This window comes from Homo sapiens, chromosome 2 (genome assembly GCF_000001405.40).
Source record: "Homo sapiens chromosome 2, GRCh38.p14 Primary Assembly".
Taxonomy (NCBI): Eukaryota; Metazoa; Chordata; class Mammalia; order Primates; family Hominidae; genus Homo; species Homo sapiens.
In genome coordinates this window covers 66,923,032-66,940,999 of record NC_000002.12, presented here as the reverse complement: position 1 = coordinate 66,940,999, position 17,968 = coordinate 66,923,032, and the positions used below count along the sequence as shown (strand labels likewise).

The window sequence follows — 17,968 nt, the reverse complement described above, 5'->3', positions numbered from 1 at the left end:
AGCTCGTCTAGGTCTATCCATTCATGCTATTGCTGACTGAAAGTTCTTAAGGAACTGCTTTGAGAAATAGATGAGACTAGTTTCTAATTAGCATAGCTGTTATAAATGAAGGTAGGTTATTTAAGTGCTTGAAAACAATTTTTTTCCTAAGTAATCTTACTTATGCTACTAATTTGTACTTTTTTGTAAAAAAAAAAAAAAGCAGTATGCTGAGTAAAGGTAAATTTTAGCCAAAAGTAATATAGTTTCATCACTGCATAATTAACCTTAGCACAGTGCAGAATAGCCTTGCTCCAAGTTTCAATTACATTATAGCTAAAGTCGCATAAGTAAACATATGATTAATTAAAGAGCAAAATCCACTTCTACAAAATAATGACTTATTCTGGAGAAAAATAAAACAAAAAGAAAGGTGATTCTTGGGGTGGTATGTATAAAATACATAGAGTTAATGATTAAAAAAACTTTTTCCCAAATCAAGAATCCCATCTTCAGCCAAAATGAGAATAATACAAAAGAGTTTAAGCATATTCATTATTTTCCCATTTGGAGAAGTCCTCTCTTTCGTATTATTTATTCCATTTTCAAATTCCATGCTCCAAAACATAAATGTGATTTTCACTGATGCTCTTCAACTTTGTCAGGCCACCCAACCCCCCTTCTCTTCCTTCCTAAATTTAATTAAAACCAACATTCAGGCATACTGGAGAGAAACATAACACAAAGAAAAACAATTTTTAAAAGCCCACATTAATCATGAGCTTTAGAGAAAGTCACCATAAATAGGATGTATCTAGACAAATGACAAGCTCCAACCACTTAAGAAAAATGTCTTTCCAGCTGCAAGGATACCAGTGTTACTGAAGAACATAGTTCTTTTGTTCTATAAATTCCTCATTTTCATATGAAGTTACCATGTTTCCTACCTTGATATAGAACCATGTATATTCAAAGTTGCTTCATCTACCATATAATCTCATGAAAGCCGAGTTTTATTTCATGGTGTTGCCAGGCACAGAGGAAGGAAAAGCCAGTACCTACTATGTGCCAAGCAAAATGCTCGACATTCTAGATGTTACTTCCTTCAACAGTCCCATCATCTCTATGAAGTTACTCGAGTCTTCTCACCTTGAGCTGGAACTTTGAACCCACAGAGGTCCTACTATCCCAGAGGTAGGACCTACTTTTTTGCCTGCAGAGTTGCAGAGACATACTTAAGAACATCAGACCCTCACTGTCTCCTTCCACATTTTGCACATAAGTCTTTGTGGTTGTTTCATTTCAACCATTCCACTAAGAAGCATTTTGATCAAAATGAATAGAAAAATATAAAAAGATTGCCAATGGCAGAAACCTCAATGGTCAACCTCAAATGGTTGACTAAAATGGAAAGAAAAAGGCAGATTAATCAAGATTATTACAGAAGGCTGTCTGATGAGCAGAGATCAGAATTATTCATGGTCAAAACATTCACCCAACTGCTCTTTGCCTTGGTTTACCTCAAATGTAAAAAAGGTAATAACATGGCCTATATACCATTCTTAAGAGTATGGGAGAAAGTTATATAATTGTCATAGATAACTAGGTTTGTCCGAAGTAAAAGGAAAATATATAAATTACTAAGTTTTTACTATAAGTCACCTCCTGTGGAGCATTTTATATATGGTTTCTTAATCTGTACCACAGACAAGTGAGATGGGTGTTCTCATCCTCATTTTACAGATGAAGAATCTAAAGCAAAGAGTTTAATTCCTTGACCAATATTAGACTACTAATAAATGATAGAGCCAAGATTTGAATATAGATTTTTCTGTTACCATTTCTCTGTCTACACCTGGCTCTTCCTCTCTTACCATCTATGGTTCTGAAGAGAACTCACAGCATCATGGTGAGGTACCACATAGAGTGAGTCGACTGTCACATTGCTAATTCTCACCTATGACTCATGTTTACTCTGTCCTAAAATGTCACGAATATATTGTCACCTTCATTGACACCTCACTGGATATGAGCTACAAAATGTTAAGGATTTTAAAAATTTTCTTTTTTCTTTGTTATCATTTTGTTCCCTTATGTATCCCAAGGATTAACAACAATGCCCAGCATGTGGCAGGTGCTCAGTATGTTTTTATCTAATGGATGCATTGAATAAACTCCTAGTCTGACCTGAGCTCCATGACAGTATTTGATATTGGTCTAAATCATATTGGTAACTCAATCATTGTATCTGTGCATGACTTGCATTTTTGAGCTCTGAATCAGGTAAGCTATTCCTCATTAGCCTTCCTATTTCTCTCCTTCTAACCTTCCCTACAAATTCCACCAACCTTGTTTAAGATGGTTTAGACTCCAAATTCAAGACTGTACTTGTTCACATGCATCAGCAGCCCTTCAGGACCATGTTTCCAATAAAATACAAGCTCCCTAAAGATAGATGTACGTTGTAAGTTTAGGAGCCCACATGCTGCCTTGGGAAAAGTCATATACACATTCTACCTCATATAAGAAATGTATAATTAATTTGGGGTCCTAAGATACCCTAAACTTTAACTCTTTCTCTTATGAATTCTAAGCCTTAATGATGACACATTACACTGTCTTGGGAGAGTAGCTGAATAGCTGGAACACTGAACCGCCTCCAGCTGGCTTCTAAAACTTAGCCCATTATTTCTGATTCCAGCCAGCCTCTTTTCAATATTCTTTAATCTTCCTTCTCCTAGCAGTCAGCCAGCCAACCACAAAGTGCCAAACTTTGCAGGCATGAGCTTTCCCCCTGTCAGTCCTGTGAGAAGGTCTCTTGTCATTTGTTTTCAGACATACACATTGTGTATGATTGTCTCACACTTATCAATTTGCCAAACATGCATGCATGAAGAGTGGAGGTAAAAGATTAAAGCCACTCAAGTAAAGAGAGGACAATCTGACACAAATAAACTCTATCCTATGGCCATGTGTTTGATCTTTCCCAACAATGTGCCATATAAACTTACCACTTCCAGTTTAAGAAGCACAACTTATAAACAAAATCATATGAACAGCAAGTGCTTAGCACGGTATCAGGCACACAGCATGTGCTCAATAAACACTCAATTTATGAATTTATGAACATCAAACTATTTGTTCAAAATTGCAGCCCTTTGGGACCAGTGTTGCATGCTATATTTATCCAAAGAGGTGGCCTCCAAACCTTTTCCATTAGATCCCCAACCAAAATAATGTTTGAGCAGGCAGTGCCACAGGTACTACTGTACATAACAATAATATATCATGTTCTTTATAAAGCATATACAGAATTATAACAGTAGAATCAGATAAAAAAACATATAAATAGAAGTTTTAATATTGACCCCAACAAATAAAGTGTCCCGAAGTGGATGATACTATCATATATCACCTCAAACCCATGGTATAACTTCAAAATCTGTTATTTTTGGAATTTCCAAATCAATAGAAGAGAAACATTAAAAAATGAATAAAAAGTCATCAAAATGGCTAAACACATCATATTTTGTTTTAGAATGTTTTCAACCTAACATTTATACTATAAAGATGCCTAAAATTCTAGAAATTCACTTCAAACTAATAAAATAATATTGTGAAATCTTAATTTAGGAAGAGCTGGGAAACTGATCATTTTTTCTATTCCTCTCATTAGACTCATATCTTTAAGCTACTAATTTTTAAAAAATAGAATAGCAGAAAAATGAAACTTTTTAAGAAAATTCAGTATTTCTCTATTGTAAGTGAAACTAGTTCTTAATTTTCCTTTAAGTGGTGGAATTCATGGACAACAGGAATAAATAGAGGAAGTGAGATGTCAAAAAGGGAGGAAATTAGCACACCATTTTATGTCAAAGGGTCATATGCTGACTATCAGTCAGTTCAAAAGCCAAAATTCTTAGCAATCCATTGACCAAAATAGTTCAGAACTCTGTAGACTGTTAGAATCAGAAGTACCTTCAAATTCAACTGGCCCAAACACCCCTTTTTACAGGTCAAGGGACCAAAGTCCCAAGGCATTAACAGACACATTTAGTGGTAGAACTGGGATTAGAACTCACATGCCTGATTCATAATATAATTCACTATGCCATGCTGCCTGAACAGTGACTTGCTTTAAAAAATGATTCATAACTGCAATTTTTTTTGAGTGCCACTTGTCCAAGTGCTTCATAAATTTGGGTTTAATCATTCCAACTAGCCTATAAGTTGGGTTATATTACTGTATGTATTAGTTCATTTTCACACTGCTGATAAAGACATACTCGAGACTGGGTGACTGACAAAGAGGTTTAATAGACTCAAAGTTCCATGTGGCTTGGGAGACCTCATAATCATGGTGGAAGGTGAAAGGCACGTCTTATATGGTGACAGTCGAGAGAGAATGAGAATCAAGCAAAAGGGGGAACCCCTTATACCATCAGATTTTGTGAGACTTATTCACTACCATGAGAAAAGTATGGGGGAAACTGTCCCCATGATTCAATTATCTCCCACTAAGTCCCTCCTACAATATGTGACAATTATGGGAGCTACAGTTCAAGATGAGATTTGGGTGGGGACATAGCAAAACCATATCCCTGTATTATTCCCCTTTCAGAGATGAAGAAACTTAGGACCAGAGAAGCAATTTGTCCAACGGCACACAAGTGAAAGAGCCTGGACATTTACTATTACCTCGTCATTTTACTCTCAAAAAGAGAAATTTTCAAATTCTAACCAAATCCAAATTATGTAACAGTGGGTTGTCAGAATAGGTGTTTTTATTGGCTAAAATATTACAATGACTTTTATTCCTTTCAGACAAATATTTAAATAATATTACTCCACAGAACCCTGTCATGTACAGTCCTGAGAAAATCTAGGCTCCAAAGTGATATCCATCATCATCATTTTTAAAACTGAAGCGGCAAAATCTGAGGGTGACACTATCACTGTAGTTCACCACTTTCCTCCTGCTCTCATGACTGCCTGCGTGACACTATCAACCAAGACTTGGATATTACAACCTGGCTCTGAGCAGTAGTATAGTAGAAACACGACTTTGCTGTCCAGTAGATTTGGAAAGTTTAAAGAACAACATCAAGATACCAGCACTGTACTTCCCTCTCTTCTGCAAAGCATTCAGCTTATCAAAAGAATGTTGATTGTTTACTTCAATTTCATAACTGACTTCATTGAGATACTGATAAACAAGGTCCAATCTGTGATGACCCCTCATCCAAACATTTTATGTTTAAATGTCTTTCCCCAGGGTTTAATGCAGAAAATACTGAAAGAAAAAAAAAGGCAGCTCTCCTTTCTCAACCAACCAAAAGAGTTGTTTTGAAACTGTGTCTTTTAGAATCACAGCACTGATGGGAGTAGCTCAGGGACCCCTGGAAGAAGACTAAGGAAAGGATTCAGGGACTCTCAGCACCCTTAAAGAGAACAAACAGCATTACCTATATTTATATTTTGTGTTCTACAATTTGAAAAAATGAGTATGAAAACTCCTCCTAATAGTGCCTTGGAATCTTCATCCCCCTAAGCAGTTAAACTGCATTTTCTGTGTACATGCCTGAGGCTCATCTTTAATGTACTTAGCACTGTCTTGTATTCATGACCCATATGAGGAAGCAGATGTTGGGCTGGCATATGGTGCCCACTCATAAATTTCTCTAACTTTCCCTGGTGTATAAGTCACAGGCAATGAAGGGTTCCAGTGACCAGTCTTCATAGCTCTCCCCAAGGAGCTCTGGAGCACTGGTCCCATTTGTTCACCTCGGGTGGGTGAGCCCATGCTTTGGGCATCCATCCACTAATAGCAGGCCCAGATGGAGGCAGTTGAGAGGCCAGCAGGCTGGATCCAGCTCTGAGAGCTGCACTCAGCATCCCACCTGGGAAAGCCAGGGCTGCAGAAGCATTTGGTCCTCCATAGCATGCAGATGGTGTTGGGAGGGATTGAGCCGAAGGTCTCATGTGCATGGGGTATTCAGAACTGAGTTGCAGTGAAAAAAGTAAGTGAATGACAAAGAAGGGAAGTACCTGTTAGTAGATCCTGATGTGAGGGCTCACAAATCCAAAGGTGGCTATGAAGAACAAAGGGAGGCCTCTCCTGGTATAAAAATGAAAGCATACCCTCATTCACCCACTTCCTTATGAAAACTGCAATGGCACAAATGATCTGATTGTATGTGATCCTGCACTTGCACATATTTTGTCTTTAATTTGATTGAGTTTTTTCTCTTATCTGTATCAAAAATAATTTGAGAACATGAACCACATCTTCTAAAACTTCTCCTCCTTTCCAAAGCACCTAGCACCATACCAGGGGCAGTGGTAGTGACCATCAATCTGTCATTCATCCCATACGTGATTACTGGGTGCATAGCATGCAACCATTTAACCTGAACTTTGTAATTCTAGAATAAAGTAATTCTATAATTTTTTGAAAGTTATTTTTTCTTTAAAAGGAATGTCAGGCAGGTAAAAAATCACATTTATGTATTTTAGAGGTAGGATAGTATGGTAAGTACTGCTGAAATTAAGGTCAACTATGTGTGGATCCCTATTCAGCCCTCTATCCTTCTACCCATCTGTCCTGTTATTGTACCTCTTCTGTGCTGGAAGCCGACCCTGTGAAGTCCCATGAGAACAGAGAGGTGTATACGTCAAATAGGAAAAAAGGTGTTGAATGACAGAATAGTCTGTACGATCAATGAGATTGTAAAGGAAGATACTGCCATCTCTGACAAGCCAATGAGGGAAGGGCTATTCAGGGTGTGACCACTGGGCTGAATACCATAGGAAGCAGAGGAAGCAATGCTATTGAGTTGCAGGCAACGGAACAGCATATACCAGAGGTGAGGTATGAAGGAGAGTGGCATTTTTTATTAACTATGGGTATATTTCCCATCCTTCACTTTGACCTTTTCCCTCTTTACCTGTCAATTCTTCTTAAAATTCAATCAATCAACAAATATATATTGGATATTTACTCCATGCTAGATATAGGTATTCCTTTATTTTCTACCTCAATTTCTTATCACCCTATACCTGGATAACTGCAATTGCTTTTCCTAGGGAGCCTACAGCCCCTGGTCATTGAAGACAGAATCAGTGAATAAATATTGATGTTTAGTTATGTGAGTCACACTATGTTAGGTACTATGTGAGGCATAAAACTACACAAAGCAACCTCCCTGTCTTCAAGGAGCTTGAATTCTTATAGGGGAGATAAAGCAAGTATGACAATAACTGTGATTTATGGCATAATATAAGTGCTGCATGAGAGGTATAAAATGAATTACATGCATTTGCACAGTGTAGAACTCCATTAGGACATGGTTCATTAGTATATGTATTTGGATATACTATAAATTAACTCTTGATACAAACAGAAATAATGAACAAATCAATTAGAAGGCAGGAAGCCCTTTTTCCCAGATAAAGCCCAGATAGAAGAACTGAGTTTCAAGTTAAGCATCATCTTTGATAGCTTCATAGCTCTTCTCAAGATTCAAGACAATGGGACTGTGGCAGCTGATGGAAGAGGGAGCTGAAATGGTAAGTTCAGCAAGTCGTTATCAATGGCAGGGTAAAAGGAGTATGTGAAGTTTCCTTACAATGTCACGCATGGAAGGTCTGTTCTCATGTTCCCTAATCGTTCCATCATCCATTACTCATTTATTTATAAAGCGAGACACCCAAGAGACATTTTTTGCCACTGGCTTATCCTTCTCCCACCACAAACTATTACCAAACTTACCTCTGAATTATGTTTTGACTTCATTCACTTTTTTCCCATCTCTGTGGCTACTCCTCCTATTTAGAATACTGAACTGTAATTTCTTCCTAAGAGGTCTCCCCACAGCCACTCTGATTACTCCACAATCCATTTCCCATACTGAGTGATCTTTAAAAATGGAAATATGACTATGTTACCCCCATGGTTATGACATTTCCATGGTTTCATGTTGCTCTGATAATAAAACCAAAATCATTAGCATGACCTCAGGTCTTGCTGTATATCTCACTTAACCTGTCTCACTAACCTCATTACCTTTCTCCCCAAGCTTCCTTTAATCCAGCCACAATGGCCCTCCTTTGGTATCAAACATGGCAGGCTCCCTCCTGGTGCAGGGCATGAGCTCATGCTGTTCTTTTGAACTGGCAAAGTCACCTCCTCCCTCCTGGGACTACCCTCCATGACTCCTGGCTCACCTAGACCCATTTTTGACATCTCAGTTCAACTAAAGTCTCACTTGCTTAGAAAGGCTTCCCTGATCTCAAGCATCACCCCTCATCTTCAGTTTCAGATAGAGTCTCTGAGTTTATGTTCTCCTTAGGACTGTGTTTATTCTCAGTTTGTAATTAAACATTTATCAATATGATTATTTAACATCTATACATCTGTCTTTCCATGCAGATTGTAATCTCTATGAAAACAAGGGCTACATTTATTTTATTTTATTTTATTTTATTTTATTTTATTTTATTTTATTTTAGACAGTCTTGCTCTGTCACTCAGGCTGGAGTGCAGTGACCCAATCTCAGTTTACTGCAACTTCCACCTCCTGGATTCCAGCGATTCTCCTGCCTCAGCCTCCCGGTTAGCTAGGACTACAGGTGCATGCCACCACACCCAGCTAATTTTTCTTGTATTTTTAGTAGAGAGAGGGTATAACTATGTTGGCCAGGTTGGTCTCGAGCTCTTCACCTTAAGTGATCTACCCGCCTTGGCCTCCCAAAGTGTGGGATTACAGGTGTGAGCCACCATGCCTAGTCTACATATGTTTTTGCTTCTCATTTTATCTCCAGTGACAATCACAGTACTTGGCACATTGCTGGTGCTCAATACAAACATGTGAAATGAATAATTGAGTCTTAAGTGAATGTAAGCCCAAGAAAGAGGAGATTATGAGAAATCCTGTTAGATGTGGTGGAGTCCAGGTAGACTGATCTGGGCGAGGATCTGGGAAGGACAGGCTTCTTTGAAAAGAGGTATTTGTTTTCTTCTTTTAATTGCATCATCTTATGTTACAATGATGGTCACTAAAAGGTTATTGTGAGAGTGGACTCCTGACAGCCACATTTTATCAGGCATTTCAATGCATGTAATTATGATCTAGGGGTATAATTGTGGCCAAAGTCTTGCCAAATCCAGGTAATGAGGAATCACAGGTTCTGGTGCTTAACAGGGAGAAAAAAGCAGCTGCAGCCTGTGCCACCAGCACTCCATGTAAGCATCTCTTCACCTGAACTTCAAGGACATGAAGAGATGCTTCTTTTGCAGTAACTTACTGTTTTGTTTTGGTTTTTTAATAAAAATAGTACACAGTCAATTCAAACAATACAAGCAATAATAAATAAGAAAAATGCACTGCTCAGGGATGCTACTGCTAATGTTTTGGTAAACATCTTCCTATAGATAGATGTATATGTTTTAACATAAATAAAATGACATTTTGTATCAATCAACAAGCTGTAAAATGGATGGATCATCCATTTAGACATGGCACTGATTAGTTTTACTGAAAGTCATAATGGATATGGTTCTGAAGTTGTTCTGAGGATAAACATGGTGGAGGTAACATTCTTAGCCAAGTCAAGGAAGCTGTAGATTTTCTGACTATTCTGATTCAAACCCTCCAAGTAGTGCAACTTCTAAAGAAACCCAAACTCTTTATAATGGAAACATCCCGAAGTGGTAAAGAGATAATAAAAGAGTAGGGAGATCCTGATGTCACCCGTGACAGGCCTTCTGTTAATGCCTAGGCTGGAAAACCAAAGCTTGAAAAAGATTCTGGGTGGGTGGCGAGGAAGGCAAAGACAGTAACAAAGTTCTGTGTGCATATTCAATTTGGACATTCCCCATGATCACTGCAGAATTTGAAGGCAAGAAGTTTGAAGAAAAATTAGCAATTCATTAGCAGCCAAGTTTAAAAAGTCACTATACTCACTGTCTAATGAGGCTTTACAGTCTAAATCTCCAAGAAAGAAACAAAACATCTCCATTAACTGGTGACAAACATCCCTGTGCAGTTCTGGCACCGAGGTTGTGCTGACTGCTGACACTTGAGAGTGGGTAGTGATTCATATTATGAAAAGAACTAAATTTTTTTTTAAGAGATGCAACTTGGTAACTAATTTTTGTATCTCCCTGCCAGTGTAACCGTTTGAATGTTAATTTAATTTTACAGAATATCATTTATGTAAATGTAATTAGAAGGGAAACATGATCTGGAGATGCACAGCACCAAAGAAAATTTATTACTCCAAGGGGTATTGCTCTAATCATTCAACTGCAATATTGAGTTTCCCCAGATTTAATCTAAAAGCAATAAATTACAAAAGGCTAATGCCCTGCCCAACAACAAGCTGTCATGAACCCAAGTTGCAGGAGGAAACCAGAAAGAGGAAGAGAGGGAAAAAAGCCTGAAGTTTACTTCAGCAACAGGCTATCACCAGGTGCATATTTCCTGACATAAAACTCAGTAGAGATAGCATAGCTAGAAATAATTAAAAGCTTCATTTCCTAAACAGGAAGAAAATGGTGACTTCCAACCTCTCACTGCTTTTCCCTCCAGAAATTTGACCAGAGCTCTTTGCTTGTTGTTAAACATTATTATAAGTGCTTGAAGTTCAGGGCTTCATGTTCCCCAACAACAGAGAGAGAGAGGGGAATCCAGCCAGGATGAAACTGCCCCAACTTTTCACCTTATGGTTGTGCTGTGCTTTTGCAGAGAAAAGGAAAAAACACAGTCTGATTAATGTCAAGGTCCATATTGCATTCCATTGCGTGCATGCCTGAAAGCCAGTTCTCCCGGGGCACCTTGCCAACACAGAGAAGCCAAGCCTGCTAAAAGGAAACGCTCTTCAGACTCCTCTCCTCTTCATGCTGAGTAAAGGGTTGTGATGGAAAGAACTTGGGGTCTTAGGTGATCTCCCTGTTGCGTAAGCCCCACATGTGAACTTGAACATGGTTGAGACTATCTGGTCCTGTGAGTGTGCTCAACAATTGCCATGAGAGAAAGAGAAATAAAATCATCAACCTGGCTGTGCGAAAATAAAATCATCAACCTGGCTGTGCACAAAATGTTGCACAACCTGGCTGCACCTTAGTGAGGTGTTCTTAAAATACCATTGCCTGGATTCTACCACAGAACAATTAAATTGGGATTTCTGTGGTTAGGATTCAGGCATGGACATATTTTAAAAGCTCCCCGGGTAACTTTAATGTGCAGTCTACAAAGAGAATGACAGCCCTAGATAAAGGTTGAAGACATGCAATGGAACGTGCAGTTTTAAAGGGAGTCTCCGTTCAATAGGTCACTGTGTCACAAAATCATTCTAGTGGGTGGGGATTTCTTACATGGGACAAATGTAAAGAAGGAATGTATTTACTCATACGAAATAGATAATTGCAGCTGGTCAGATATGTAGCTGAGGTTATCAGGTAAAACCATATCATCTCAATGGGATTTTAAAACCTAAATTATAAAATCCTTTTATTGTTGTCACTATTTTCTTTATCTAACAAAGGACATAGTAGTATCACCTACCTCATCTTTCTTAAATTGGGGATTTGAACATCATAATCACACTGCATTTCTAAAAAAAAATATCCTAATCCTAAAAGAAGTTCTACATTTCTTTCATTATCCAGAAACCTCTTGGCTCTGTGTGTTTAGATATTTTTTTGTCTTGGTATTCTACATACTGATTGGGCTGTTTAATTCAGAGAAAGGTATGCAATCTAAGGTAAATGAATATTTTTAGAGTTCAACGATAGAACATCCTTTTTACCAGACCTGTTAAGACTTTGCCTCAATTCTCTTATTCTCCATTCTATCTTAAGATAGAAAAAGTCCCCTTTCTCTATGGTTATTGAGAAGAATTATGGCCATTGAGAAGAAAAAGAGAAATGTCAAGGTACTACAAATGGGAAACACCCAAATAATATAAACAGACTTTGTTATCTTAAATCATTTTTGGAATAATGAAGGATAAACATAAATACATCCATCTACAATTATAGTACAGATAGTCTTCATAAGTTGTCTAAGTTTACGTAGCTAGTAAATAATGGATTTGCGATTTGAGACTCAAGAAATGCATCCACCCAAAACTCAAAGGTAACTGAAAAGTTTGAATGGTTAATCACAGAGAGTAGCCTTTGAATGGATCCTTAAATGAAAGAGGCCAGCCAAATGAAGATCATCTGAAGAACAGTGAGAAAGAGCCTTCTAGCAAAAGCAACTTCTAATGCAAGGACCTGAAGTGGGAACACACTGGAAGTGAAGGTCAAGAGAGAAAGCCAGCAGGCTAGGGGAAGCCCCACTTATCAATGCCATCATTGTCCACTTGCAGGGTAGCACCAGAGACTGGTAAGGGCCACATCCTCCAGAAAGTACAGGTGACCACCTTTCATTCCAAAAGGAAAGGCCTTTTTATTCTTTTGGCATTTCAACCGTTACTGTGTAAGGTAATTACTAGCTGGCTAACGTTCGAGCAGGATTGATAGGTTCCATTTAGGTCAGCATTTGGCTTATGCTTTCCTACCCCAGAAAACCTGTCTAGGTCAGTAGGTTATAGGGCAAATAAATGCTGCAGCATGTCAGAATTTTTTTATTCCTTTTGCATTCTTGGCCTCCTTATTTGAGGTACAGGAGTCAGCCTGGAAAGCTGATGATGTGGCCCTTGGTCTGGTGCTGCACTTATTAATACTTAGTGACTAGATCAAGGTAACAGTAGTACTTGCAGTATCAAAAGATACCTCTAAACACTTTATTTAGGACAAGAACTAAAAATTTTAAAGGTACAATAAAAGTATTTATTTTATAAATTGTATTGCCTTTTAAAAAGGTGGAATTAATAAAAACAAGGTATACCTTGGGGAGATGGAGTTGGGTGGAATTTTTAAGGAGCAAAATAGCCATTTTTGTATATTGTTTTCTTCTATCAAGGAGATACATTTTGATATCATAACAGTAAATCCCTAAATCTCAAAATATGGGGGAAAAAGCAAACTAGGAAATATTTCACTTTTCGGTTGATGTGGTATGCATTTGATTCAAGTCCACTAGCAAGTTTATTTAAAACTACCAGTAGGTTGGGCATGGTGGTTCACTCCTGTAATCCTAGCACTTTGCAAGGCTGAGGTGGAAAGTGGGAGAGGATCACTTGAGCCCAAGAGTTAGAGACCAATCTGGGCAATATAGTGAGTATCTGTTTCTATAAAAAAAAGAAAAAGAAAAAAATTTAAAAATTAGCTAGACATGGTGGTGCATGCCTACAGTCCCAGCAACTCAGGAGGCTGAGGTGAGAGGATCACTTAAGCCCAAGAAGTCAAGGCTGCAGTGAGCTGTGATTGTGTCACTGCACTCCAGCCTGCGTGAAACAGTGAGACCCTGTCTCAAAAAAAAAACAACAAAACAAAACAAAACAAAAAAACTACCAGTAATCTGAAAACTCCACCTGAATCTCTAGAGCTCATTTTACCTGATCTCAGAAGTTCAAACCTGATAAAAAGTTAAAATAATCCTGAAACTCAAGTTTAATTGTTAGAGCCTAATCAATCTTTAGGTTATAGAGGTAGCCAAAGGGATGGCATGTGACCCAGATCTAGAGGTTATTGACTAAAACTTGTGCCAAACACTGTAGTTTTCATTATCCCAGGACCTTCCTATAATATAGTTATTTATTATAATTTCTCAATTATTCATTCTAGCAAGGTTTATAGTGACAAAACAGCCACTAATGAGAAGGCAAAATGTAATTCCTTAGGAATCTCATTTTTATCTGATGTTAATTAATGCCCACTTATAAATTGTGACTTAACCATAAAATTCACTTGGTGCTTGAATTTAATCTTTCATATTTATTGAAAAATTAGAAAAAAATATCTGCTCTAAGGTAGCCAGATAAGTCCAATATGCTAGTTTTATAAACATTTGAACCTATAACAGGTTTATTTCTTGGTGTGAATTATCTGAATTTCCTCCATGAGTAATATTTGTGGCATGCCAACAGATAAGAGTTTGAAGGCTAGAGGGATAAGTATCACTCTTTTCTTCACTCTGAGAGGCAGCTCTCTGTCAAGACTGCAATATTTTTAAATGTTGACAAGCATGTACACTCTAACACATGCCTTTTGCCTGGCTCATTATGTAAATTATATTCATGTAATGCATCACTCGGGTATTCAGGTGCAAGCCCACGGTGTCTAATACAAGTCCTCCTTGTCAGGAGCGGCAGCAATGTGCATTTTCAGTAAAGATAACCGATCAGGGGGAAAAATAACTGCTATTTTCAATCAGAACCGTATAAAATGCCCTTAGTCCAGAAAAGATGTGATGCCAGGCTAAGGCTCTAAAATACGTCTCTGACCTTATTATCCAGGCTCTTGTGTTAAATATAGTGGCTATAATAGAATTTGTATGCCCTAGTTTCTGACAGGTTGAATGTTGCTTAGTAATCCAGGAGTGGAAAATGGCTGCCTGCATTCAAAGGAGATCATAGATTACAGACATTTCCTGGGCATTATGACCAGAGGATGCTGTTGCAATGCCTCACAAAAGAGAGACAGCTTCCTAACCCCTGTAATTGGAGCCGGACTGCATTCGTTACCGATTGCAGTGTAATGAAGTACCCCAAAACTATTTATTTAGCTGTGGATAAGGAATCTGGGCTGGATGAGCTGGGTCTTCAGCTTTAGGGTCTCTCTCAGGAGGCAATCAACTTGTCAGCCAGGCCTGTGGTCCTCTCATCTTTAACAGAAAAGATGTGCTTTCTAGCTGACTGTCTCAGTTGTCAGCAGGATTCAGTTCCTCGTGGCTGTTGGGCTGGGGGTTTCTTTCCTTGCTGGGTGTTGGTTGGAGACCTCCTTCAAGTCTTTGCCATATGATGTCACGTGCTCTAATATGGGAGCCTGCTTCATCAAAGAAAGCAAAATGAAGAGAAAAGAGAGGGTGCCTTCCAGATGGAAGTCACCATCACTTCTGCATTAGAAGCGAGTCACTAGCTTCAGACCAAATACAAGGGAAGGAGTCTATAGAAGGACAGAGATGCCAGGAGGCAGAGATCACTGGGGCCATTTTAGAAGCTTTCCTACCAAAGGAACTGAGAAGATCTCTCAGGTGCCCACAATATCGCTGCCCTAACATGACATGTTTATCTTGTTACCTAGTGAAACCTACAAAGCAATGAAATGAAATGGTAACACCTTGGATCTCCTCTTATGCCAGGGTAGCTGACAGGGAATTTAATGGTGTTATTCATAGAGAGTACCTTGTCATAGTACAAAAAGTTTTCAATTTTGGAATTGAAAAAACTTATTTTCGATTCCAAATGCAAGCAAAAAAAATTTTTTTGTAAAAGAAATGTTTTAATGTCCTTTTTTTCCTGCATGGCTCCAATACCCACCAAGCAAGCCTATTTCAAAGTCCATAGGATAACCTATTAATCCAGCAATGGAGAAGGCAGACATTGCAGGATGGCTTTAAGAGCTAGAGAGGTACAGCAACCTCCTAGAGCCAGCCACAGCTAGCAGTCCACAGAGGATGACGGATGCAGGCAAAGATTTCCATGAAAACCATTTGATGAGGACTCAACTTGATGACTCTGCTCTTGTGAAGGGCCTAAGGAAGAATAACACTCAATAATAAAGCCTTTGAAACCAGAAGCATACCTTGCCCAACCAAGAGTTGTAAATGATGTGGGATAGGAGCCAAATTTGGCAAATAAAGAATGAGAAGCAGTTCAGGAATGTTCTCTTGACCACACTGGCTAAAGGTTATCACTAAATCCTAAATTGTGAGGAAGTAGAAAATCATCACCCAAGCCCACTGTGTATCTGTTATATTTTGTAAAGAGGTGGGTAGGATTTTCTAATAAATGACCTTGGAGCTCTCTGACAATGACCTTGGCTTCCCTTAAAATGACCTAGCTGTGACTAATGGGCTCCTTCTTTGGTAGGGGGGTCTGAGACTGCATGAGAGACTACACCCAAATCACTTCCTAAGTAACCAGAAACCCTAAGATTTCCAGATGCTGGTCATCTATATTTTTTTCAGAACATCCTTAAAAACACTGGTCCTAAGCTAAGTATTCTCACACAATAGCCTTATAAAAAGGGATAGCAGTAGAGATTGAGATTCCTTCAACAGAGTAATTGCTTCATGGTACATCCAGTAGCTTCCCTGGCCAAGCACAGCCCTGCAGGGTGAGTAGAGAACTCAGGACCTACTGACCCTTCTGCCCCTGAGTTTCAGCCTGTACCAAATGTCATTGCTGGTGTCCATCCTGAGAACTTTGCCCAGAATAAGTGCATATGTATAAATACTTACAAAACATCATATGATTATCATTATAGAGTGAGTCTTACTCATTGTTTTTGTTGTTATTATCATCTTCATTTTATATGGCTCAAATTTTAAAAACCCTCTAACTACCATAATAGAAATGCATGAACCCAGTGTGGTAACTGACTATGAGAATGAATATTCCAGTGCCAAGCATGGGCAACATCATGTAAGTCACATACCTCATAAAATGCCATTGTAACTACTGAAGCTTAGGTGTATTGTATATAGCACAGAATCTCATCATCAGAAATGCATTGATTTCACTCTTTTTTGAAGCATTAAACCTTAAAGGCTGTTTTCACCTAGATTCCATAAGAAGCAAAGTGTAAGAAAAAGGCCATGTGTGAGTAATTTATCTGGAAATGTAGTTCCAGGGAACCAGAATAAAACAAGGGAGGAGGGAGAGCCCATGCAAGTATATCACCATGGGTGACCAGTTGCTCAGTCCTGTGAGCTCATCTGAGAAGCAGAATGAAATGCTTTGCAAAATGTTCCTGAGGCAGGAAAAGTCAAATGAAGAAGCATTTACCCATTGACTTCCAGTCCCCATTGGTGAACATTTCTTCTAACCTGGTATTAAGCACTCTCACTTTCAGGATGCATATTCTTGAACACTAAGTTTCTATAGTTCTCAATGCAGTGACATCAGTAAAGAAACTCCACACCTGCCGGAGGCAAGAGGTGTGCATTTTGGGCCTGAAGCAAAACCGTACCTACTGGAAACTCACTGGAGCCTACACAGAACTGTTGGTTGCAACAGTGGCTGCCACAGGATATAGGTGTGGCTTAGAAGATCAGATATGATGCTTAAGAGTTATCTAATAAAAAGATTTTCAGATGTGGAAAACCCTTGTGGAGAGGAAATTAACCCTCAAAAGGGTAACACCTCAAGTCTTTAGTTTCTTGTTTCATAGTAGAAATTAAGAGATAGAACTTGAAGGTATGAGGCACAGAAAATCATCATATGAAGGCAGAAGTTGGCTTGTAGATTTTATTTATTAAGAATGTTATTGTTGGGGGAGGATATTTTGGGCCTCTGAGAGACATGCTCAGATCCTTTTATAGAAATCTCTTTAAAATGGCTTCCAAAGACCACCAACTACTGGTACACATGCCCAGTGTAATCCTCTCTCCTTGTTTGTGAGCTAAACCTAGTGACTTGTTTCTAATGAAAAGAACTGTCATAGAACACCTAGTGCCACAATTCATTATTAAAATTTTTTTAGGCCTCACTCCATGAGAATGCAAACTCTAGAAAGGCATGATTTGGCTAACAATCATATTCCAAGCCACAGGACAGTGTTTGGCACATAATAGATGCTCAATCAGCATTTGTTCAATAAAACATATCTCAAAAAGGTATTTATTTCCTGGGATAGAAAAAGGGAAAGAGGAAAAAGCATTAACCCACTGACTTCAAGTCCCCATTAGAACTGGAGTGAGTGAGTGAGCAAGAGAGTCGTGGTCATTATTTAAAACAAGGAAACGTTCAAGCCTACAGGATTTTAGAGTCCTGGCATGGGTGCTGAGGATTTCTCCTAATAACCAGAGTGAAGATAGGTTAAAAAATCCCACATTACATTGGAGACATCATGGTATCTCAGAAAACCTATAAGCTG

The 17,968-nt window shown here is 38.5% G+C and overlaps 1 long non-coding RNA gene across 1 annotated transcript in view; it reads right to left on the bottom strand.

Annotated features, from left to right (window-relative positions):
• LINC01799 (long intergenic non-protein coding RNA 1799) overlaps window positions 1-17,968 on the bottom strand; it is a 67,031-nt gene that overhangs the window by 30,467 nt on the left and 18,596 nt on the right. Inside the window, exons 2-3 of the long non-coding RNA NR_110169.1 lie at window positions 7,751-7,897; window positions 6,028-6,097 (exon numbers count right to left, since the gene is read on the bottom strand). This is a non-coding gene — a long non-coding RNA (long intergenic non-protein coding RNA 1799). The remainder of the gene's footprint in view (window positions 1-6,027; window positions 6,098-7,750; window positions 7,898-17,968) is intronic.